The sequence below is a fragment of the Homo sapiens genome, chromosome 11, assembly GCF_000001405.40.
Source record: "Homo sapiens chromosome 11, GRCh38.p14 Primary Assembly".
Classification (NCBI taxonomy): domain Eukaryota; kingdom Metazoa; phylum Chordata; class Mammalia; order Primates; family Hominidae; genus Homo; species Homo sapiens.
Window position 1 is genome coordinate 74391195 of NC_000011.10, and position 24204 is coordinate 74415398.

Sequence of the window (24204 nt, forward strand, 5' to 3'; positions counted from 1 at the left end):
CTCCCTCCCTCCCTTCCTTGGGTAACTGCTTTTTCTTTTCTGTTCTTTTTTTTTTTAATGTTGTTGACCAGAAACAACACGCCATCTTCACCATATTACTAACATCTTCCAGCTTTTTACTATTTATGGCATAGATGCTGAATTCTTTTTCAAGATATATTTCTGGAACCCCAGTGTGGATCAGTACACTATTTTCATCTAGGATTTCTTTACATTGGATTTCTGGGGAAGTTACTCCACATCAACTTCCTCATATTTCCTATTTCCTTTTGCTATGTTTCCTCAACTTTAACGTCTATATTTTCTATTGCATTTGGCAGGGGTGGGGTGTAACGTTTTTTTCTTAATTTCCAAGAGCTCATTATTGTTTCCTGTTCCTTTTTCATAGCATATTTCCTTATTTGATGGAATAATTGTCTTATTTAATCAAAAAACATTAAGTTCTTGTGTTCCCTGACTTAACTCAGTTTTTTTCCTGTATCCATTGCTTTACTTATTTTTCATGCAGCTTATTTCCTTTTTATAGTTTGATCGTTAGTTAGTTATTAACATCAATAGATTTTTAGCCGCTGGTACCCAACATTCTGTTTTCTGTTTCTGTGTATTTGACTACGCTAGGTACCTTATATAAGCTGGTATGGGTTTTCTCTGTTTTCATGTATACAATATGTTTTCTGCCAGTCTCCTCTTAAATAGAATGGCCAGTTGGAAGCCCTGTTTGTTAGTTGCACTTATTGTCCTGCAAACTTTGCTAGCATTAATTATATTGTTTAAACTTTTGAAATAACTAATGCTAATAGCATAACTATCAAAATTTAGGAGACATAGAGAATAGTGAGTGAATTCCCATTTTTTATAGCACAGGGATATATTTGACAGATAATATCTAAAGCTTTAAAATACATCAAGAAATAGTGCTTCTAGTATATTACTTAGTCTTTTCATGGTAACCACAAAAATAACTAAAAAGAAACTTAAAATGACTTATAAGGAGCAAACTGAGGAAAAGAAGAGGCAGTTAGGATCATTGTTTTCCATTATAATCCCTTCTGTACTATTTTTTAAAATCATAAGCATGTATTTCTTCAAAAAAAATAAATTGCAAATAAAATGATGAAAACAGGAGAAAATGTAGGAAATTTGGAAGTATAAAGAAAAAAATGAATTTGAATTCTAAAAAGAAAAATTCAAATATTCATTTATATGTACTAAATTTCTTGGACAGAAGGAGAATACTGTGTTGCCAAGGAGACCAAAGCAACTGTTCAGCTCTTAAAAAAAAAAAATCCATGGCAATTTATTCTGCATAATATTACATCCTACTCCAGCTTTATAAAAGCCAATAAAATAGTTTTTTTTTTTTTGAGACGGAGTCTGGCTCTGTCGCCCAGGCTGGAGTGCAGTGGCGCGATGTCGGCTCCCCTGCAAGCTCCGCCTCCCGGATTCACGCCATTCTCCTGCCTCAGCCTCCCGAGTAGCTGGGACTACAGGTGCCCGCCACCTCGCCCGGCTAATTTTTTGTATTTTAGTAGAGACGGGGCTTCACCATGTTAGCCAGGATGGTCTCGATCTCCTGACCTTGTGATCCGCCCGCCTCGGCCTCCCAAAGTGTTGGGATTAGAGGCGTGAGCCACTGCGCCCGGCCAGCCAATAAAACAGTTTTAATGAGGGCCTTGAAACTTAGTTTATGTTGTCACTAACATTTATTAAACATTTGGTTTATGGAGTCTACCCTAGTGATAAGAATACAGTAAAAGTCAGATGACCTAGGTTTGAGTCCCAATTTTACCACTTAAAAGCCGTATCTCCTTTAGCAAGTCACTTTTCTTTTATGAGCTTAAGTTTCTTTACTTGCAAAATTGGGGATAACTACTACCTGCCTAACACACTGTTGCTATGAATAGCAAATGAGACTTAACAGCATTTTACCAAAGTTGAAACACTACAAAAATAAATTCAAGGAATAAGGACTAGCATTTCCCAAAAGTAATAAAGCCATATGTGTATACTGTGTACTCTTCATTGATTAAATGCCAAATTCAGTATTAGAAAAATGTGAACAAAAAATGTTATATAAACTAGTATTATAAAAATTGGATTGAACTAGGTGGCAGATCCAAGCTCCCATCTAAGCTCCCCAACTGGATAATGTCCACAATTTCTTTGGGTCTCTACGCAATGACCCTGGAGTAGACCACCTTTGTACAGGTATGTCATAGGTGTATTTCCCATCACATAATGATGACTTAAAAGGAAATTCACTCACCATCTTTTCTATCTGGGCTACATTAGGAGGCACAGAAAATCATGTGAGTGACATTGGAAAAAAAACTTCTACCATTAGACTAATGTGTGAATCACTGGCTTAGATTGAAGTATTTTATTTCCATTTTCAGGCTTTTTATAAGCCTACGCTACCTTGAACTTTACATGATACTCTTTCTCAACGCAGACCTACATTCTGAGACCACAGTGCTCTACTTGCTATTTCTTAAAATGCCGTGGCCAATTCCTGCCTCCACATCGTTGTTGATATATAGGAAGTTCAACACCTTTGTGACAGCTGCTATAGCAGGCTGAGCAGCTCTAGCCTGTGTCCCAGCTCTATTCCCCATCCAGCCACTGACCCCATCCACTTTGCCAGTGCCTAACATCTTACATATAGGACTGCTTTTAAAAAGAAAATTCACAATGGATAAAGAACAGGACATATTATAATGAGAGAACCTGCTTCTGGGCCAGCAAAACTGGTCTATAATTTGACAGAATGTAAGAAAGCACTGAAAAAAAAAAAACTAGGAAGGAGGTGAGTGACTTAGCCCTAGAGCATAGAAGGAGAGAGCACTGGTAGTAGAGTCATCTGTTCGCTGCCTGGAGGAGAAATGCCTTGATCTAGGACTTGTTGGGTTCTAATGGTAGGACAGTCCCATTGTGGAGATGTGTGCATTTACTTATTACAGGTTGATGCTGTTAAATGTTTGTGTCATATATCTGACTCCCTGTGATTTGATTTCATGACCACCAAAAATCTTCTTTTGACTTCTCCTATGGTGCATCTAGAAAATGCCCTGAATAGAAACAAATCTACTTAGCTATTACATCTGTACCATACATTAATAAAACATTCTGAATTCAGACATCAGTTTCTGTGGCATTGGGCACAGTGAGTACATCCTGAGACAAGGTAGGCTAACAAATTAGGCTGAAGGCTCAGGAATGGAAGGTCACATTCTGGACTTGTAAATTTACCAACAGAAAGCCACCCCTTAGAAATTACATGGAGTACCCCAAACTGCCCCAATAAACACCTGTCTTGTTGCATTGTTTTCTTTTTAACATTTACACACACACCTGTGTGTATTTAAGCCCTTCAAGACATACTAAAGCCCTTCTATGACCTGGTCTTTACACATCCTTCCAAAATTTTCTATGTACCCTGAGCAACAGCAGAAATAAAAGTTCTTAATACACACATTAAAATTTCTCTCTATGCTTGTCATAGTTCTCCTTATGTTAGCAAGTCTAATTTTAACTAATTCTGAAAGTTCAAGCACAAATAACATTTTTTCATAAAGACTTTTCAAATACACCAACCGAGACTAAGATTAGTAATTTTAGTGACCAACGCAAGTAGCAAATTGACCTCTAATCAATTTAAAACTTATTATATGCCTCATCTGAGTCATGAAGAATTGGTGGCATTTGGTTCCTTTTTTAATTAAATAGGTATTCATCAGGTGTTAAAATCAGTTTCTCTGTTAAAAGACTACATATGCCATCAATATATAATGTAAGAAATGCCATGAGTCTGATCTTATTTTACATTTCTGCACTCTAAATTTCAGTGCCCTGAGACAGTCTAGCTTACCTATAGTATCAATCTACAGTAGATACAATTTCTCCATTAAATGTATTCTCTCCTATTAAGAGAGGATCAATGAAGAAATTTATTATATTTATTAAATAATTAACAAATTACTTAATCTATTCCTCTGTTAAGGATACTTATTACTTGCCCCTATTATTTATGCTTTTCCTTCCCTTCTATTTTCTTTAAAGATATGATCCATATCTATTTCATCTTTCTATCTCTCACAGGTTTCAGCTAATGCCTTATATTCAGAGGCACTTTAAATACAAATTAAGAATTTATCTTCCACTTTCAATGAAGTTTTATCTTCATTATTTTTATTTTGTTTTATTTATTTTTGAGATGGAGTCTCACTCTGTCATCCAGGCTGGAGTGCAGTGGAACGATCTCAGCTCACTGCAACCTCCGCCTCCCAAGTTCAAGTGATTCTCTGGCCTCAGCCTTTGAGTAGCTGGGACTACAGGCACGTGACACCTCGCCTGGCTTTTTTTTTTTTTTTTTTTTTTTTTTTTTGTATTTTTAGTAGGGACGGGGTTTCACTATGTTGGCCAGGCTGGTCTCGAACTCCTGACCTCAGGTGATCTGCCCACCTTGGCCTCCCAGGGTGCTAGCATTACAAGCGTGAGCCACCGTGCCTGACCTCTCTTCATTCTTTTTATGTATCCTATCTTCTAATGAAGTCTTCCTTGAGCATCTCAGTCCACCGTTTACTCCTACTTTTGAACTGCAAGAACTGACTGCCTACAAACCATTTAATTGCCACCAAAACTACCCTAGCATTATTATTTTATGTGCATTTTACAGGTTTCTTTAATATTTCAGTATATCCCAACAATGTATAGGCATAGAATGGACAATCAATAAATATAAATTCATTCAAACAATCTTTTAAAAATAATTCAGGGGCCGGGTGTGGTGGTTCATGCCTATAATCCCAACACTTTGGGAGGCTGAGGTGGGAGAATCCCTTGAGGCCCAGAGTTCAAGACAAGCCTGGGCAACATAGTGAGACCCCATTTCTAAAAAAAAAAAAATTTTTTTTAATTAGCCGGGCGTGGTGGCATGTGCCTGTAGTCCCAGCTACTCGGCAGGCTAAGGCAGAAAGATCACTTGAGCCCAGGAGTTCAAGGCTGCAGTGAGTGCAGTGAGCGGAGATCGCGCCACTGCACTCCAGCCTGGACAACACGGTGAGACCCTGTTTAAAAAAAAAAAAAAAAATCAATCAGGAGACTCATTAGGAAAAGTACAGTTAAAACTGGCACCTAAAGAGAACAAAAAGTCTTGCTACTCCAAGTGTGGTCCACAGACCAGCAGCATTAGTATCACCTGAAAATTCATTCTTTTTTTTTCTTTTCTTTTCTTTTTTTGAGACGGAGTCTCGCTCTGTCGCCCAGGCTGGAGTGCAGTGGCGCGATCTCCGCTCACTGCAAGCTCCGCCTCCCGGGTTCAAGCCATTCTCCTGCCTCAGCCTCCCGAATAGCTGGGGCTACAGGCGCCCGCCACCGCGCCCGGCTAATTTTTTGTATTTTTAGTAGAGACGGGGTTTCACCATGTTAGCCAGGATGGTCTCGATCTCCTGACCTCGTGATCCACCCGCCTCGGCCTCCCAAAGTGCTGGAATTACAGGCCTGAGCCACGGCGCCCGGCCGGAAATTCATTCTTAGGCAGAATCCAAGGCCCCACCCCAGGCCTCCTGAATCAGAATTTGTATTTCAAGATCCCCAGGTGATCTATAAGCACATTAAGGTTTGAGAAGCATTAGTTTAGACTGTAGAGGAAGAATTATTCGTCCAATATACATATGACCAATTAACACCAAATACCTCATTGTAGTTGCTTATTTGTTGGTCTTCCTCATCTGCTAACTGAGGCTTGTTGAGGGCAGGAACCCTTTCTATTTTCCTCACAAGTATTTCCTGGGTCTAACAAGACCTAAAACACGCACTCAGCATTCAATATTTTTTTGCTGAATGAATGAATGAATAAAGTAAAAACAAAACTTTCAGAAAGTGAAGCCTTAAGGAAATTCATTTGTACAACATAATGTCACATACTACCATACAAATTCCTTAATTCAGTGTCATTAATTCCATTTTAAATGTGCTGCCTTCTCTACTTCAACAAAGGTATTTTACGCACTTGACAAAGCAAAAGCTTGGATTATCTTCCTCTGTTGGAGCTACCAGGGACCTCTTTTACAAGTAAGATAGCTGCATTTTAATTCTGATTGTCACAAATTCATCCCAAATGCCCGCACGAGGTTTAATTACCACCACAACTTGGAGGTGGGGGCGGAGGGTGGGTGGGGAGGTGTTGGTAGAGAAGTAATGGTTAAGGCAAAAACAATCCTGTATTAAGAGTACCACATGAAACCTGGAAAACACGATTCCTTGAACAGATTAATTCCAGAAAATAGCTGCCAGCAGGAGAAAGAAGAGGTAAGCGCCTTGCCTTTCCCAACAGCAAAAGGTGATACTAGACAATACCAGGGAGTGATAAAAGGCCAGCAACTACCTAGCGACAGAAGGAGGAAACACACCAGACCAGAACTAAAGCGGATAGCGGTTAGAAACGCCCAGTAAGGGTGCCAGAAACCACTTTCAGGTATGTGGAGAAGGAAGTCAAGGGAGAAAAAGGGAAAGGAAATCGTTGTTTAGGGTATAACTTACAATGATGATGATTTTTTTTTTTTTTTTTTTGAAGAAAGAGGGAAGACAGCACTTGAAAGGAAAGAGGGTAAAGAAGAGGAAGGGAGGTTACAATTGAGAGCACTGCAGAAGGAAGCGATGCAGATGTTGCCGCCCGGCTCTGGCAGTCCGAAGGAGCAACCCCACGCATAGGTGGGTGGCAACGCCCTGCTCCGCTGCCCCCCGCTCGGTGTCCCGAGCCATCTCCTCTGCAGCCCGCGGGGCGCTGGGTGGGCACAGGAAAGAGCAGACTGTGTGGGGGAGGCGACGGCGTTTGCCGGGCTGACCAGGTACCCACCTTATCCCAGCGGAGCCACTGCCCGATGGCCGTGTCCAGCTGAGGGTCCCCGGTGTGGTAGGGGGCGTGGAGCAGGTTGGAGTTCAGATCCCCCTCTGTGTTTTCAGCCATGGCGACCAGACAGGCGTACGGGCCGGGGGCCGGCGAAGACACTGAGTTGGGGTGGGGGGTGGCTTGGGGTTCGCTCACCAGGGTCCAGGCGTCCCCACCTCACTGAAGGGCATCGGAGACCAACCGCAGGGTGTTCGTAACAGCTCCTGCCGCGGCGTCAGGGAACCGGGAGAGAGGGGGTTTATGGCCGCCTGCTCCCCAGCGGACCAGGTCCGGGTCTCTGGGCGAAGTGACTGAGGCGGTCGCGCCGCGAGAGAACAACAGTCCCAGATGTCTGGGTCCTGGCTCCGCCGCCGCCGCCGCCGCCCGCCCCGCCTACGGCCCCGCCCCGCGCCTTAGGCCCCGCCCCTTCCCGCCCTTGCTGATTTAAGTCCCCGAAGTTCTAGACTGGAGCCCGGGAGCGCGCTCCCCACGCCTCCGAAGTAGTGGGGGTTTACAGCCCGTCCGGGTGGTGAGGCAATAGTGCACGGTTCTTTTTATTTTTTAATTTGCCAAGGGTCTCCTTTCCTCGATCTGCTCTCACGGCTACCACTAGCAAGCTGCCTTTGCGCTTGCCCTGCAGGTCCCCAGCGCGCGCGCAGGCCCCCAGTTTCTCTTGGGGGCACGCGCCGGTTGGGGGAGGAGGGGCAGTGCGAGCTGTCCGCGCACTGCCTCACGGGAGTTGTAGTTCTTTCCTTTGTCTGAGCTCAGCGGAGACCGCCGCCGAGACTACGACTCCCAGCAGCTCCGCGTTCCCCCTTTCCTCAAAAGAAAAAGATCTACCTCGAGGTAGTTCCCTACAGACACGCCCTATCCCTATTAGTTATGCTGCGCTGTGTGGCCCTGGCATTAAATTAAACAAGGAATGACATAGTAAGGGGACAAAGTGGTATCCGTTTAGTGCTGTGCAGTTTACGAATCGCGTTCTATCGCCTCAATCCCTCAGTAAGGTACAGGGGCGTAGTCCTTTTCCGTTTCACACACAAAGAAGAAACTGACTCCCTGAGACACCTCTCCTAAGAGGCCGAGTTCGTGAGCGGTCAAACTAGGGTTCCAATCTCATTTCAGATCCCCTCAGCTGGCAGTTATTTTATTAGGTCGGTGCAAAAGTAATTGCTGTTTTTGCCATTAAAAATAATGGCATTAAAAGTAATGGCAAAAACGGCAATGACTTTTGTACCAATCTAATATCTCTGCTGCTATAGTAAACTAGGAGGTAGGGAGAACAAGATTACTGGAAAATAGATAAGGAAGTTGTTGAGGGAAGATGGTCGGCATTTAACCTAAATATAAGAATGTATAAGCATCACAAGATACCAAGAGCAATGGTAATGGGAATACGGAGGAAAAGGAAATTGGTTCACCCAAATTGAAATAGTCTTCCGTTACTTCTTAGCCGTCTCTCCTATGGAAAGCTCACCTAAGTTGAGGTCTGGGAAATGCTGAGAAGTGCTGACCTGTCAGCCACCTAGCTACTCCTCCGTTTCTTGGTTTGGCCTTCTTAGAATGGCTATGATTTTGGGCAAGTACATTACAACTCTTTCCCTAGTCAGCTTTTTTGTAAGGAAGGTATGATAATATTTACATCATGGCTGTACAGTAACTTAATAAATGGCATTAGGCTGCTTTGAGGTTCACAGATAAAAGACATATTAAGTTCAAAGTATTACTTTATTTCCTTTAAAGTGCCATTTACCATAATAAAATTCAAACTACCAAGGTACAAAAGGATTGTGGTACCAGTTTCTGAAAAACGTGCCATAGTTGGGAGTTGCAGTTTTTGCTAACGATTGTTTCTTTTGTGGAGTCAGCAGGACTCTTGTTCTTTTAATCACACAAGGCCTGGGCAACAGTCACGTGTCCTGGAGAGAAATTCATCTTCCACTACCATCACCATTATTATCCATGATACATATTAAACATTTACTCTCTGCTAAGCATTATGGTAGGAGCTGAGGCTACAAGAATCTATATAATTGTTCACTTCGAGAAGTAACATCTGAGGAGACAGGATATATGTAAGAAAAGAAAGCCCATGATAAATAGCAAGTGCTGCCAACAACTGTTAATGAATTTACATCTGAGGTGGTCAATGAAAAAAGCATCAAGCAGGAGGGACCTGCACTGGGCTTTCAGAAACAAAATAAACAAGTTGAGAATAAGATAGAGGATATTTCAAACCCATAGATCAGTGGTTCTCATATCTCCCTAGGAGTTTGTTTAAATTAATATTCCTGGACACTGCCTCCAGAGATTCTGAATCAATACATTGGCATAGGGCCTAGGTACCTGCATATTTGAAATATCTATTGACTGTCACAATTCAAAGTGTGATTAGGAGGACAACTGTGCTGATGTCCTCTGGAAGCTTATTAAGAAATACAAAATTTCATACCCCAGTCCAGTTCTGCTGCATCAGAACCTACATTTTAACAAGATCTAATGATGAGTTATATTTAAATTTGTTAAACAGTGTTTTTTATAAGACAATTCTTATTCAGTTCATTTCTGAGAAACACTACCAAATCAACAGAGCTTTCAAGACATGGAAAAAAAGAGTCAACTAACCTTCACTTTTATCAGCAAGATCATAGCAGACATTTACTGCTTACCAGAAATCTTGCCCAGCGGATTAGATTTATTGTTTGGATGTTGGAGGGTAACCAAGGAGACCCAGAACCCATCAAATCCAACAGCAGTGTCTAAGTGTGTTCAGCAGAGGAAGTGTAGTAGTTCCCCTAGTCTGGGAAAGCTCAGAGCTTTCATTTCTGTTGGAATTTGCCCATGGCATCCTGCATTTTTATTTGCTAAGCCTGGCAACATTAACTGTGGTTATGAAAAAGAATATCCTTCTTGGTCCCCGTATACAGTCATACATTGCTTAATAACAGGGATGTGTTCTGAGAAATGCATCATTAGGTGATTCTGTCATCTTAACATCATAGAGTATACAAACCTAGGTGGTATAGCCCACTACCCACCTAGGCTATATGGTACAGCTTATTGCTCCTAGGCTACAAACCTGTACAGTATGTTGCTGTACTGAATACTGTAGGGGACTGTAACACAATTGTAAGCATTTGGATATCTAAACATATCTCAATATAGAAAAGGTACAATTTTTGGTATAAAAATTATGATATAAAAAATATAAAATGGCACACCTATATAGTGCACTTACCATGAATGGAGCTTGCAGGACTGAAAGTAGCTCTTGAGTGAGTAAGTGAGTGAGTGGTGAGGGAATGGGAAGGTCTAGGACACTACTGTACACTACTGTAGACTTTATAAGCACCGTACACATTAGCCTAGGCCTACACTGGGTGAGGATCATCAAGACATCAACTCAGTCATAGGAATTTTTCAGCCCCATTATAATGTTATGGGACCACCATTGTATATGCCGTTCTTTGACCGAAACATCCTTATGCAGCACATGACTGTATTATATTTACTACATATATATAATATAATGTTTCAAATATTACATATAATGGACCTAATATTTTAGAATCATAATATATATAACTTACCCTCCAATGATTTAGAAAAAGACCACGTGTATGTCTATACAAATATTTATTATATATGTATATATGCAAACATATATATTACATAGTTAAATGAATAGCAAAGGACAAAGCAAATGGAGGAAAATGTTAATAGTGGGTGGATCTGGGTAAAGAATATGTGAATGGCTGGGTAAAGAATATATGAATGGCTTACATCTGTAATCCCGGCACTTTGGGAGGCCAAGGCAGGTGGATCACCTGAGGTCAGGAGTTCAAGACCAGCCTGGCCAACATAGTGAAACCCCATCACTACTAAAAATACAAAAATTAGCCAGGCATGGTGGCAGGCACCTGTAATCTTAGCTACTTGGGAGGCTGAGGCAGGAGGAAACACTTGAACCTGGGAGGTGGAGGTTGCAGTGAGCCAAGATCGCACATTACACTCCAGCCTCGGTGACAAGAGTGAAATCTGTCTCAAAAAAACATATATATATAGAGAGAGATATATATTATGTATATATATTATATATATTTTGTATATATAATATATATAATGTGTATATATAATGTATATTATGTGTATATATTATATATTGTGTATGTATTATATATATTATGTGTATATAATATATATTATGTAATATGTATACATATGTAATATATATTTTATATATACATGTATATATTATATATTATATATATATTTTATATATACACTAATATATATTATGTATACATAATATATATAATATATATATTATATATTATAATATATATAACATATATTATATATAATATATAATATATGTTATATATATTATAATATATAATTCACAGATTTATACATATATCACATACATATAATATATGTATATATAATATATATTATATATATTATGTATACATTATATATATTAGTGTATATATAAAATATATATATAATATATTATATATATTATGTATCTATTATATATATTATGTATACATAAAAATATATATGTGTATATATAAAATATATATTATGTATATATAATATATATTATGTATATATAATGTGTGTATATATACATATATATGTATAATATAATATATAATGTATATATACATAATATATATTATGTATATGTATTATATATATTATGTGTATATATTATATATATTATGTATATATAATATATATTATGTATATATATAATATATATATATGGGTATTGTTTGTACTATTTTTATTTTTGTAACTTTGACATCATTTTTTTCTTTTCTTTCTTTCTTTTTTTTTGAGACTGGGTCCTGCTCTGTTGCCCAGGCTGGAGTGAGGTGGCGCAACCATGGCTTGCTGCAGCCTTGACCTCCTGGGTTCAAATGATCCTCCCACCTCAGCCTCCTGAGTAGCTGGGACCACAGGTGCCCGCCACCATACCTGGCTAATTTTTTAATTATTTCTAGAGACAAGGTCTTGCCATGTTGCCCAGGCTGGTCTTGTGTTCCTGGGCTCGAGCAATCCTCCTGCTTCGGCCTCCCAAAGTGCTGGGATTACAGGTATGAGCCACCACATCCAGCTGTGAAATTATTTCAAAATCAAAAAGTTTAAAAGAAAAACCTCTACTGTATAAGAAATACACATTTCTTTATTATTAACAAAAAATCTAGCCAAGTGTGGTGGCTCATACCTCTAATCCCAACATTTTGGGAGGCCGAGGTAGGGGGATCGCTTTATCCCAGGAGTTTGACACCAGCCTGGGCAACATGGCAAGACCCTGTCTCTGCAAAACGACAACAAAAAAATTTTTTTTTAGTTAGCCGGGCATGGTGGCTCATGTCTGTAGTCCTCGCTACTTGGGAGGGTGAGGCAGGAGAATCCCTTGAGCCCAGAAGTTCCAGGCTCTAGTGAGCCTTGACTGTGCCACTGCACTCCAGCCTGGGCAACAGAACAGGACCCTGTCTCTAAAAAGAGAAAAAAAAATTTAATTAAAAGACTGGAATTTCTCATTCTGTTAGGGCAGCAAGAATTTGAATTTTCATTAATATCTGGAATTTTCTTCCCCACCCAGGCCTTATCTGGTACTTGGAAAACAGGAAGGGTCTGTAGCTCGAGTTCATTAAGGTTTCTGCAAGCATCTGCATTGTCCAGAGCCGTAGTGGTCACTGACACTGGAAGTCTGACAGCTTTCTCCCTGCATGCCATTTGTAAGCAATTACCAGGAAACTTGGTTGAGGCTAGGAACCCCAAGCCTCTGTCTAGGTTTGCCACATAGCCATCCCCTCTAAAATCTTGCCCATTCCTTGAAATGCTACCACCAGGCAGAGCTCAGGGCCTCTCTCTCTCATTACCTGCCTACTTTAAGACTTTAAATCTTGACAAAATGTATCATTCTGCTCTGTGATTGCTCTGAAAAGAGAAGTATTTTCTTATTGCTCACAAACATATTTGTCATAAACTCTAGTAAACTCTGTTAAAAAGAGAGAGCCCAAAAAGGAAGTATCTCACAAGCAATTTTCTACTTTTAGCCTTCTTACATAAAAGCCTCGAGGCAAGGGGATACAACAAGAAGAGCAAATAAAAAGATGATTATCTTTGTGAAAGGGGGGATGGATGCAGAACATATGCAGGAATATAGTGAAGCAAGGCAAAGAACCCAAGGTGCAAAATGTGAGGAAGCCTTTGCGCTTAGGTTTGTGAAGTGCAGGGTTGGCACCTGAGAGTCGGTGCCTCATTACATTTTTTAACACTTCACTGAGATATAAATCACATACTATACAATTCAACCACTTATTTATTTTTTATTATTATTATTTTTTATTTTTTACTGCTCCTTGCAGAGCAGGGCTAACTCATAGGCAGTGTGCCCAGAGCCTGCCCAGTTCACCCATTTAAAGTATACAATTCAATAGTTTTTGTTACATTTACAGATATGTATAAACATCACTATAGTCAATTAAAACGTTCATCACCTTGAAAAAAAAGCCCGTACCCTTTAGCCATCAGCTTTATCACCCTATCTCCCCACTCCCAGGCCTAAGCAACCTCTAATCTACTTTGTGTCTCTGTGGATTACCCTGTTGTGAACATTTCATCTAAAGGGAATTATATCATATGTGGTCTTTTGTGACTGGTTTCTTCCACTTAACATGTTTTCAGGGCTCATCTGTGTTGTAGCATATACTTCATTTTTTTTTACAGCTGAATAATATTCCAGTGTATGCATATGCCGTATTTGTTGATCCATCCGTTGGTGGACATTTGAGTCATCTCTGTCTTTTGACTATTGTGAATAATGCTTCTATAAACATTCTTGTATAATTTTTTGTATAAAATGTTTTTGGCCGGGTGTGGTAGCTCATGCCTGTAATCCCAGCACTTTGGGAGGACAAGACAGGTGCATAACTTGAGGTCAGGAGTAAGAGACCAGCCTGGCCAAAATGGTGAAACCCCGTCTCTACTAAAAATACAAAACTTACCCGGGTGTGGTAGCTCATGCCTGTAATCCCAGCACTTTGGGAGGACAAGACAGGTGGATAACTTGAGGTCAGGAGGCCAAAATGGTGAAACCCCATCTCTACTAAAAATACAAAACTTACCTGGGTGTGGTGGAGCATACCTGTAATCCCAGCTACTCGGGAGGCTAAAGCAGGAGAATGGCTTAAACCCGGGAGGCAGAGGTTGCAGTGAGCCGAGATGGCACCACTGCACTCCAGTCTGGGCAACAGAGTGAGGGAGACTCCATCTCAAAAAACAAAACAAAAAGTTTTCATTTCTTGTCAGTATACGCCTAAGAATGGATTTGTTGGATCATATGGTAACTCTATGTTTAACCATTAAAAAACTGCCAGATTGTTTTTCAAAGTGACTGTACCATTTTACATTCCCTCCAGCAGTGTACGAGGCTTCCAATTTTTCCACAGATTTGCCAATGCTTGTTATTATCCGACTTTTTTATTCTAGCCATTTTAGTGAGTGTGAAGTGGTATCTCATTGTGGTTTTGATTTGAATTTCCCTGATGACTAAAGATGTTGAGTATCTTTTCATGTGCTTATTGGCTACTTCTATATCTTCCTTTGAGAAGGAAATTAACATATTTTGTCCACTTGTGATTGGTTATTTGTCTCTTATTGAGTTTAAATGTTCTTTATATTTCTGGATATATGTCCCTGATATAGGTCAGATATATGACTTGCAAATACTTGTCCTCTGTGAATAGAGATTGTTTTATTTCTTCCTTTCCAATCTGGTCGCCTTTGACTTCTTTTTCTTGCCTACTGGCTCTGGCTACCTTCAGTACAGTGTTGAATAGAAGTGACAAGAGTCGACATTCTTGTCTTGTTCCTGATTTTAGGGGGAAAGTATTCAATCTTCCACCATTAAGTATATGTTAACTGTGGGGTTTTTTGTAGATGCCCTCATCAGATTGATGAAGTTCCCTTCTGTTTCTAGCTTGTTGAGTGTATTTATCGTGAGTGTTGGATTTTGTCAAATGCTTTCCCATATCTATTGAGATGATCATATGAGTTTTTTAATTATATTGGTATGATATAATTAATTACTAATTTTGGGAAATTAAACCAAACTTGCATCCCACTTGGTCATGGTGTATCATTGTTTTCATATGTTTCTGGATTTAGTTGCTAGTATTTTGCTGAGGATTTATTTGTTCATACTCAATGGAGATATTGGTTTATAGTTATCTTTTTTGTGATATATTAGTCTGGTTTCGATATCAGAGTAACACTGGTCTCACAAAATGAGTCTGGAAGTGTTTCCTTCTTCCTCAATTTTTGGAAGAGTTTGTGAAGAACTGACATTAATTCTTCCTTAAATGTTTAGTAGAATTCAGCAGTAAAGCTATCTGGACCTGGACTTTTCTTTGTGGGTAGTTTTCTCATTATTAATTCAATCCCTTCATGTGTTATAGATCTCTTCATTTGTCTATAGCCAATTTCAGTAGTTTGTGTCCTTGTAGGAATTTGTCCATTTAATCTAAATTATCTAATTTGTTGTCATACAGTTGTTTACAGTGTTCCTTTATAATCCTTTTTATTTCTGTAAGGTGAGTAGTAATGTCCTCTTTCACTTTTTATTTTAGTAATTTGAGTCTTCTCTCTTTTTCTTGGTCAATCTAGCTAAAGTTTTATCATTTTTGTCAATCTTTCAAAGAACCAACTTTAGGATTCATTGATTTTCTCTACTGCTTTTCTATTTTTTAATCTCATTAATTTATACTCTAATCATTATTATTTCTTTTATTCCAGTTTACTAATTCTCTTTCCAGCAGCATATAAGTGACTAAACTGACCCCTTGGTTTTGTTTGTGTGCATGTGCATATTCCAATGAAACTTTATTTGCAAAAGCAGGTGGCAAGCCAGATTTGTCCCATGGGCCACAGCTTGCCCATTCCTAATCCAGAGTAATGGTTCCCAACTCAGGATGCACATCTTTTAAAGGAATCAACTGCTGGGCTTCACTCCCTAAGATTGTGATTTAACTGATCTGGGTTGGAGCGTGGTCATCCGTGGGGTTTTTTTGTTTGTGCTTGGTTTTTGTTTTAAGCTTTCCCATGGGTTTCCAATGTGCAGCCAAAGCTGAGAGCCATTTATTTAGAGCAGGGATCTGATATTTGGGTTGTTTGTCTTTAAATCAACAGAATGTTATTATCTTGGGGTTCTGGAGGCCAGAAGTTCAACGTTAAGGTGTCAGCAGGACCAAACTCCTTTGAAGCCTATGGGGAAAATCTTTCTTTGCCTCTTCCAGTTTCTGGTAGCTCCAGGTGTTCCTTAGCTTGTAGCTGCATAACTCCAATCTCTGCCTCTATCTTCACATGACCTTCTTCTCCTCCAACTCAGAAATGGCCAAGTGGAAGAGGTGCATAGGGCAAGGTGTGGGAGCACGGGTGGCACGGAGCTTCCGTGGCTTCTCAGGTCACACCACCCTCCTAGCAGCTCAATGTGTTCCACCAATCCAGAAGCTTTACTTCTGGGTTTTTAATTAAGGTTATTGTATTTTCTATTTCTAGAATTATTTTAGATTCATTTGTAAATTTACTACAGCACTTTTCATAGTTTCCTATTCTCTACAGAGATCTTCAAACTTGTCTTTCACTTTTTAAACCTATAGCCAGCCTCGTTGTTTAAAATCTAAAATCTTTATGAGTCTGTTTCCCTTGTCTAATGTTTTTGCTAGCTCCTGCTCTGCAGTCTGGTTTCTTTGCGAGCCGTGTGTGTGTGTGTGTGTGTGTGTGTGTGTGTGTGTGTGTGTGTGATGGACATTGTATTTGAAAAAATATTTGTGGGAATAAATTTAGACTTGCAATGAAAGTTCTGTAGAGAGGATTTGCGTTTGCTTCTCTTTATAGAGAAAGTTCTTTTCTCTAGAGAGGAATTGCCAAGTACCTGGTAGTTCAACTATTTTAAGGCTTGAAATTATCTGGTGCTCGGGTGACCCTATGTTGGCTGTAATTCTATGTAAAATATTTCTCTTCTAGTTTATAGTTTACTTGGATTGCATAGCTCTTTGGGGTTCCAATATTGTGAGAAGTTTCTCCTGTTAGACCCTCAAGCTTACGCAGACCTTGGCTTTATTTTCTGTCTTGCCCGTGACAGTTTTAAAATTAAGGTTCAAAATTTTCAAGATTGGCAAATACTCTCAGGGCAAAAGCCACGTCTTGCACAGTTACATCTTCGGGATAACATTTTCCTTTCATTTTTGGCCTGGTAATTTTTTACTGACTTGTCATTTCTTCTTTGTGATTTAAAAGAAGGTTAAAATAATAACTGAGCTTTATTATTTAGTTTTAACAAGAAGGTTAATACAAATAACCTCATCTGCCATTTTGGGAACACTATACTATTTTGATAATCATCTTATGGCTGTAAAATATTATGTCAAGTTGATCTACCATGGTGTTTTTTAAAAAATTATTCTCATGTATAGGTTTCTTAGCTTGCCTCCATTTTTCCTATGTAAATAGCAATAACATTGAACGCCTTTGTGAATAAAGCCATTTTTGCCTTCTGCAGTATTCCATACCTAAATCCTTTAGAGTACAATTGCTGAGCAATGTACTATAAATGTTTAGAGGGTTTGATTCCTAAGGGTTGAACTAATGTCTTATGAATCAAATTGTGTGATCTTCATCTTTTTAGTTCCGTCATAGTAATATTAATATTTTTAAAGACCAAGTCCAATAAACCAGTCTTGGTCACCTGATTAAGCAGTTCTCAAGCAGAAAATGAACCTTTATGAGTTTTCTTTTAAAATATTAACTCTTTTATGTAAAGTATTTAAGTTCAATTTAATGTGGCAAATACTTGTATGTCTGTCATGTTACATCTTTCTAGGTGTTTCAGATTCAGGATAAACAAGATAGACAAGCCTTGTTCCTGCCCTTAAGAAGCCCAGGACGAGGAATACAGACAAATAACACATTATTGAAATGCCCTGATAAGTGCTTTTCATAGATAATACTATGGAATTACAGAGGAGGGGCACTTAATCCAGACTGGGAGGGGCATAAAAGGTATCCTTGAAGAAATCATAGCTAAACTTGGTAAGTCTTGAACTTGGGTGGCCTGCGTTCTCCAACTTTGTCCTTATTTTTCAAGATTCTTTGGGTTTTCTAGGTCCTTTGCGTTTCCATATAAATTTTAGAATAAACTTGTTAATTTCTACCAAAAAAAAGCCTGCTAGGATTATGATTGAGATTATGTTAACTCCCTAGATCAATTTAGAATTAATTGACATCTTTAGAATACTGAGTTTTCCAATCCATGAAAATGATCTATGTCTCTAATTTAAGAAGACTTTTAATTTCTCTCAGCAATGTTAATGTAGGTTTCAGTGCAGAGGTCTTATAAGTCTTTGACGTATTCCTAAACATTTTGTTTTTTTATGCACATGTAAATAGTTTTATTTTTATAGTTTAACTTGGAACTGAAGAACAAATAGGAGTTAGGAAAAAGGAATATGGCATGCTAGGCAAAGGAAACAAAACAAGAAGGATATTTGTGTGCTGAGAGCTCAATATTACAAATGTCTGCTACAAACCTCTTTTATCATGCTGACATGGAAGAAATATTGCTGAGGTGAGTAACAAAAACAACAAAGAAGGCATATTCTTCTTTTTGAATTCCAGGGTCTACAACTATACACCTAATAATACTATCTAGTAGTATCTATTAGATTGATATGATTATCTAATAATAGAGCAATAATAACTAATAAGTTGCTAAGTTAGTTTAAGCCCTTTCAGGGCAGAATAAAGTTGGAGAATTTACACCATCTGACTTCAAGACTTATAAATATGCAGCAATTCAGTGTGCAGTATTAGTATTAGGATAGACAAATAGATCAATGGAACGGACTATTTCTGCGGGCCCAGAAGTAGACCCACATTCATTTGATTTTCAACAAAAGCATCAAAGCAAGCCAATGAGAAATGGAAAATTCCTTCAACAGGTGATATTGAAAAAACAGAATATACATCTGGAAAAATATCAACCTCAACCTGTATCTCACACCAAATATAAAAATTAATTTTAGCCTGGGCTGAGTGGCTCAGGTAATCCCAGAACTTTGGGAGGCCAAGGCAGGAGGATCACTTGAGACCAGGAGTTCAAGACCATCCTGGGCAACATAGCAAGACACTCTCTACAAAAAAATCTAAAAATATATATATATATTAGCTGGGCCTGGTGGTGCACCTGTAGTCCTAGCTACTCAGGAGGCTGAGGCAGGAGGATTGCTTGAGCCCAGGAGTTTCAGGCTGCAGTGAGCTATGATTGATTGTGCCACTGTACTCCAGCCTGGGTGACAGAGTAAGATCTCATTTCTAAAAAAAATAAATAAAATAAAATAAAAAAATAAAGCTATACAGCTTCTAGAAGAAAACCAAGTAGAATATATTTGCAACTTGGGAATAGGTAAAGATTTCTTAGGATAGAGAAAGCATTAATCACAAAAATATAAAATTGATAAATTAGTTGTCATCAAAATTAACAACTTCTGCTTATCAAAAGACAGTCTTAAGAATCTAATTTGGTAAGCTATAGGTTAGGAGAAATTGTTTTCAAAATATATATCTGATAAAGAAGTAGTATCCAGAATATATATAGAATTCCTATAACACAATAATAAAAAGACAAAAACGAACCCAAAAAATCTACCGTTTTTTAAACTGCAAATGACAACACAAACTTAATCTAGCTTAAGTAGAAAATTGAGTTTTGGTACAACAATGTGAATGTACTTAATGCCACTGAACTATACACTTATTTTCAAATATCTATTTTTATATATAATTCAAAATTTAAAAAATTAAATGTCTTGGCATATGTACTGAGAAAGTCAGGAGTGGAGCCAGCTTCAGGGACCCCTGGATCCTGACATAAGGACTCTGTCTTCACCTTTCAGCTCCACTTCTGTTTCCTCCCAACCTCCCTTACTTATTTTTCAAAATAAGACAGTTGTGACTACATAGAGCTCTAGGCAAACATCACCCCAGCTAGCAACCCCAAAAAGAAAGACAAGATTTATCTCGCTGCTTCAGTAGATATAAATTTCAAGGAATAATTGGCCCAGATCGGGTTATGAGCCCACTACCCCTAAGGCCATGCCAGGAGGGTAATATGTTGAACCACCCCATAAAAATCACATAAAATGAATAGTTAAGGAACCTTTCCCCAAAGGAAGAGCAGGGTTCTGTCACTGGGAGATGAAGAAAAGGGATGCTAAACAACCAAACAAACAGATCCCTTTAATAATGACTTGTTATCTATTCCTTGACTTTAAACAAATTATTTACCATCTGCCAGTCATTTTTCTCAATTCTTTCTGAAAAAAAAGATCATTTATTTATTCAGCAACTTTATATTGTGCACCTACTGTTGTGCTATGCACTGTTCTAGGGATGAGAGAGAAGAATGGTAAATAGACAAAGTTCTGGTACTCTTGTAGCATGAATGATTTTCCCACTTATAAAAGCAGTATTTGCCAGCTCCACATCTTGGCATTTCCAAACATCACCAGTAAAGAAACTTTTTTTCTCTGTTGAAAGAAAAAGTTAAGTCTACTACATTTGGAAGGTCAAAAATAACCTTTCACTTTTAGGGAAAAAGTATTCTGTACCTAGAGCCACTTAATATATGTGTGTCATTCTAAACTTTGATTTCTCCAGTTTTTGTTCATTTTCTTTTCTCTCTGTTTTTTTTTTTTTGTTTTTTTTTTTTGAAACGGAGTCTTGCTCTGTCCAGCCCAGGCTGGAGTGCAGTGGCGGGATCACGGCTCACTGCAACGTCCGCCTCCTGGATTCAAGGGATTCTCCTGCCTCAGCCTCTCTAGTAGCTGGGATTACAGGCCCCCGCCACCACACCTGGCTAATTTTTGTATTTTTAGTAGAGACGGGGTTTCACCATCTTGGCCAGGAGCTCTGGAACTCCTGACCTCGTGATCCACCCGCCTTGGCCTCCCAAAGTGCTGGAATTACATTCGTGAGCCACTGCCCCCAGCCCATTTTCTTTTCTGCATACCTGATAGCTCATTTTGAAATTGTTGCTTTCTATTTTATTAAATGTCTGTGTTTGTGGATGCTAGATGACTATACTATGCTGTTGTAGGTTATCTTGCTTTCCTATAATTCTTGTGTGTTTGTGTGTGTGTTCTATTTATTCAATAAAAGAACTGGTAGCCTGTAGTCAATTTTCTATCCCTAATAGTTTTTCATTTTCTGATGAAATCCAAGATCGCTTTTTTATTATAATGTGTAGAAGACATGGCATATTGTAGACAAAGGGAAATTGAATCTGCTGGAACCAGCTCTTGGTGAGAAACTATGATTTGATGATGATGTTATATCCTCAGCTAAACGCTGGAAATTTTCTAGGATTAGAAGAAAATGACTCATTCTGGACTTGCAACAGGGAAAAAACTACATTATTTGGTAAGGTGAGGACTAAAAGATATGATTTTCTGTGGATTTTATTGTTTAAAAATACTATGCAAATCATAACTTGGAACAAGTTATAATATACTCATATATACATAGATATGGGTATAGATATAGATAGTATTTATACACATATGAGTTTTATCTTTACTTTTTCTGCCCACCCTTTAGTTAGGAATATTAGTGAGGAGTGAAATGACCAAAAGTATGTATCAATCTTGATAGCATTCAGCTGCATGTGACTAAAACAAAACTAAGCGGCTTAACAAAGAGATGTTCATTTTCTTTTCCAAATAACAAGAAGTCCCAGGGAAGGCAGACCAAGCGTAGGTAGTCAAAGACGTCATCAAGCACCCAGCCTCCTTTTATCTTTCTGCTCTTTCTTCCTTAACGTGGTTCTCACCCTCATAGTCAAAAGATGACTGTGCCACATTCCACATTGTACCTGAATTCTAGGCAAGAGGAAGGGGGAAGGGCAAAGGGCAAAAAGTTCACTTCAGCCAAGTTCGCCTGCGCCCCTTCTTAAAATGAGGAAAGCAGCTGCCGCTTTCCCACGCTCCGCCCCGCTCTGCACCCCCCGTAGACTTTTTCTTACATCTCACTGGCCAGAACTGTGTCCTATAACCACTCCTGGGAAATCAAGTTTTTGGCTGCACATGCTATTGCCTTGAGCAAAACAGAAGTTCTGATGGTAAGAAAAACAGGAATAATGGATATTAGGTAGGTAATTAGCAGAGCTGCCACAGGTGGCAATAGGGGGGAAAAATGCAGCTCAAGAGCTAGAAAATACAAACCATATAGTGTATAATTAAGAATTTACCATAGTAACTTATTTAGGAACTATAGCATGTATCCCATAAAGTTACTGAGCATATCTGCATAATTTATCCAACACTTAGATCAGTGCCTAGCCTGGTCCTGTTGCAAGCACAGCAGTAGATTTCAGTCTAGCAGTGGAAGCCCTGATCAATTACCCTCCCTAGAGTCGAAAGTCTTTGAGGTGTATTCTCAAGGCTGACACAGCATCCAGAACTCCATATTCTCCTTTCTTTCTTCCTACATTTATGGCTGTTCCTATTTTCATTGCTAACTTTTCTTCTATCAGCCCCTTATTTAAATGTTGGTATTTTTTGGTTCTTTCTGAAGCGCCACCACCCCCAACGGCTTTTTTTTTTTTTTTTTTTTTTTGAAACGGAGTCTCGCTCTGTCGCCCAGGCTGGAGTACAGTGGCGCAACTCGGCTCACTGCAACCTCCACCTCCCTGGTTCAAGCAATTCCCCTGCCTCAGCCTCCCAAGTAGCTGGGACTACAGGTGCCCGCCACCATGCCCGGCTAATTTTTTTGTATTTTAGTAGACACTGGGTTTCACCATGTTGGCCAGACTGGTCTCGAACTCCTGACCTCAGGCAATTCGCCCGCCTTGGCCTCCTGAAGTGCTGGGATTACAGGCGTGAGCCACCGCCCCCAGCCTGAAGCCCCTTTCTTAATCTTCACTTTAATCCTTGGTAATTTATTATAGTCCAGTGGCTTCAATTACGAATTAATTGATGATGTTTCTCAAACCATAACACCACTTTGTCTTCTGACCTCCCAACCCTATTAGCTGTTTTCACTTGGATATCTCATAGACCAGTATTAGGTATTCTTTTTAAAAATTATTTTATTTTTAAGTATTTATTTATTTATTTAAAGACCGGGTTATGAGACTGGCTCGTTTGTATTTTTGGTAGGGGTGGGATTTCAGTATGTTGCCCAGGCTGGTCTCGAACTCCTGGGCTCAAGCAGTCTGCCTGCCTTGGCCTCCCAAAGTGCTGTGATTACAGGCATGAGCCACCGCACCCAGCCAATATTAGGTGTTCTGACTCCGTTATTCTAATACTACCATTTTTACACCTCTGTTTCAATGCTAAGGACATGCTAAGTATAAACAGTTTCATCAAAATTAGGTCAATATTGATGAAGAAAAGGCTTTATGGAGTAACATCTAATTATTTAATGCCATGATAAATTTTGTGTTTTAAACTATTTCCTTCAAATTTCCCCTTTTATTTTTTAAAAATTATATTTGAAATAAGTTCCTCTGTCTTTACACTTTACAACGCAGGTTTGATTCATTGATCATATTTTGTTCATATCAAATGGACAAGAAATCCATTCTGCATCACCATTGTGCACTTTCTTTTGTGGTCACTATTTTCACAAAATCTAATTTTTTTCTGGAGTAGTTTTTAAATTTTTTTTTATTTTTGAGAAACAAATAAGTTGCAAGGAAAAAATAGGGAGAGAGAAAACTATAGATCAAAAGAGACTTAAGAAACATGTTAACCAAATGCAATCTGTGGATCTTGTCTGATCTTGATTTGAACAAATCTACCATCAAAGAAAATTAGGAGACAATCTGGGAAATTTGAACACTGACAGAATATTTAAGGATATTAATGAGTTACTAATTTTTGGTATGATAATGGTATTTCATTATATTTGTAAAAGAAATATGAGGTCTTGGATTTGCTTCAAAATATTCTGGAGGTAGGAAAAGTGGGTGTGCGTATAGGTGAAACAAAATGGCCTTGAGTTAGTAATTGTTGAAACTAAGAGAAAAGTACATGGGACTTCATAACATTAGTTTCTGTACTTTTGAATATTTTGAATTTTTCCATAATAAAATGTGAGATACATAAATAAGTCCTGTGAAGCAGATTTGTTTCTCTAAAAATTACAAATTTTACCATGTGCAATTTTAGCCATCAGTTTTATTTGGTGTTATTTCTTTTTAAAAAATATTTATTTTATTAATTAGTTTATTTATT

General features: G+C 38.6%; 1 protein-coding gene and 1 non-coding gene across 3 annotated transcripts in view, besides 7 other annotated features; one reads left to right on the forward strand and one right to left on the reverse strand.

Annotated features, from left to right (window-relative positions):
* Nucleotides 1-7239, reverse strand: part of PGM2L1 (phosphoglucomutase 2 like 1) — a 68118-nt gene extending 60879 nt beyond the window's left edge. For both annotated transcript variants that reach the window (NM_173582.6, XM_011544953.4), the window contains exon 1: nt 6857-7239. In NM_173582.6, coding sequence (NP_775853.2) covers nt 6857-6967 — 111 coding nt within the window. In that variant the 5' untranslated portion in view covers nt 6968-7239. The remainder of the gene's footprint in view (nt 1-6856) is intronic.
* Nucleotides 4888-5389: an enhancer, noted in NCBI's record as "H3K4me1 hESC enhancer chr11:74107127-74107628 (GRCh37/hg19 assembly coordinates)". NCBI's record gives its function as "activates a minimal SCP1, AML or CMV promoter by ChIP-STARR-seq in primed H9 embryonic stem cells {active_cell/tissue: H9 hESC(primed)}" and the evidence as "EXISTENCE:reporter gene assay evidence [ECO:0000049][PMID:30033119]".
* Nucleotides 5390-5889: an enhancer, noted in NCBI's record as "H3K4me1 hESC enhancer chr11:74107629-74108128 (GRCh37/hg19 assembly coordinates)". NCBI's record gives its function as "activates a minimal SCP1, AML or CMV promoter by ChIP-STARR-seq in primed H9 embryonic stem cells {active_cell/tissue: H9 hESC(primed)}" and the evidence as "EXISTENCE:reporter gene assay evidence [ECO:0000049][PMID:30033119]".
* Nucleotides 6981-7602: an enhancer, noted in NCBI's record as "H3K27ac hESC enhancer chr11:74109220-74109841 (GRCh37/hg19 assembly coordinates)". NCBI's record gives its function as "activates a minimal SCP1, AML or CMV promoter by ChIP-STARR-seq in naive H9 embryonic stem cells {active_cell/tissue: H9 hESC(naive)}" and the evidence as "EXISTENCE:reporter gene assay evidence [ECO:0000049][PMID:30033119]".
* Nucleotides 6981-8223: a biological region, named in NCBI's record as "H3K27ac hESC enhancers GRCh37_chr11:74109220-74109841 and GRCh37_chr11:74109842-74110462".
* Nucleotides 7334-7703: an enhancer, noted in NCBI's record as "active region_5252". NCBI's record gives its function as "activates an Ori minimal core promoter by ATAC-STARR-seq in GM12878 lymphoblastoid cells {active_cell/tissue: GM12878}" and the evidence as "EXISTENCE:reporter gene assay evidence [ECO:0000049][PMID:35858748]".
* Nucleotides 7603-8223: an enhancer, noted in NCBI's record as "H3K27ac hESC enhancer chr11:74109842-74110462 (GRCh37/hg19 assembly coordinates)". NCBI's record gives its function as "activates a minimal SCP1, AML or CMV promoter by ChIP-STARR-seq in primed H9 embryonic stem cells {active_cell/tissue: H9 hESC(primed)}" and the evidence as "EXISTENCE:reporter gene assay evidence [ECO:0000049][PMID:30033119]".
* MIR548AL (microRNA 548al) lies at nt 8043-8139 on the forward strand. The gene has a single exon (NR_039710.1). It is a non-coding gene; the product is annotated as a microRNA 548al (primary transcript).
* Nucleotides 21345-22544: an enhancer, noted in NCBI's record as "BRD4-independent group 4 enhancer chr11:74123584-74124783 (GRCh37/hg19 assembly coordinates)". NCBI's record gives its function as "activates an origin of replication core promoter dependent on BRD2, P300/CBP, MED14 and CDK7 cofactors, and independent of BRD4, by STARR-seq in HCT116 cells {active_cell/tissue: HCT116}" and the evidence as "EXISTENCE:reporter gene assay evidence [ECO:0000049][PMID:35650434]".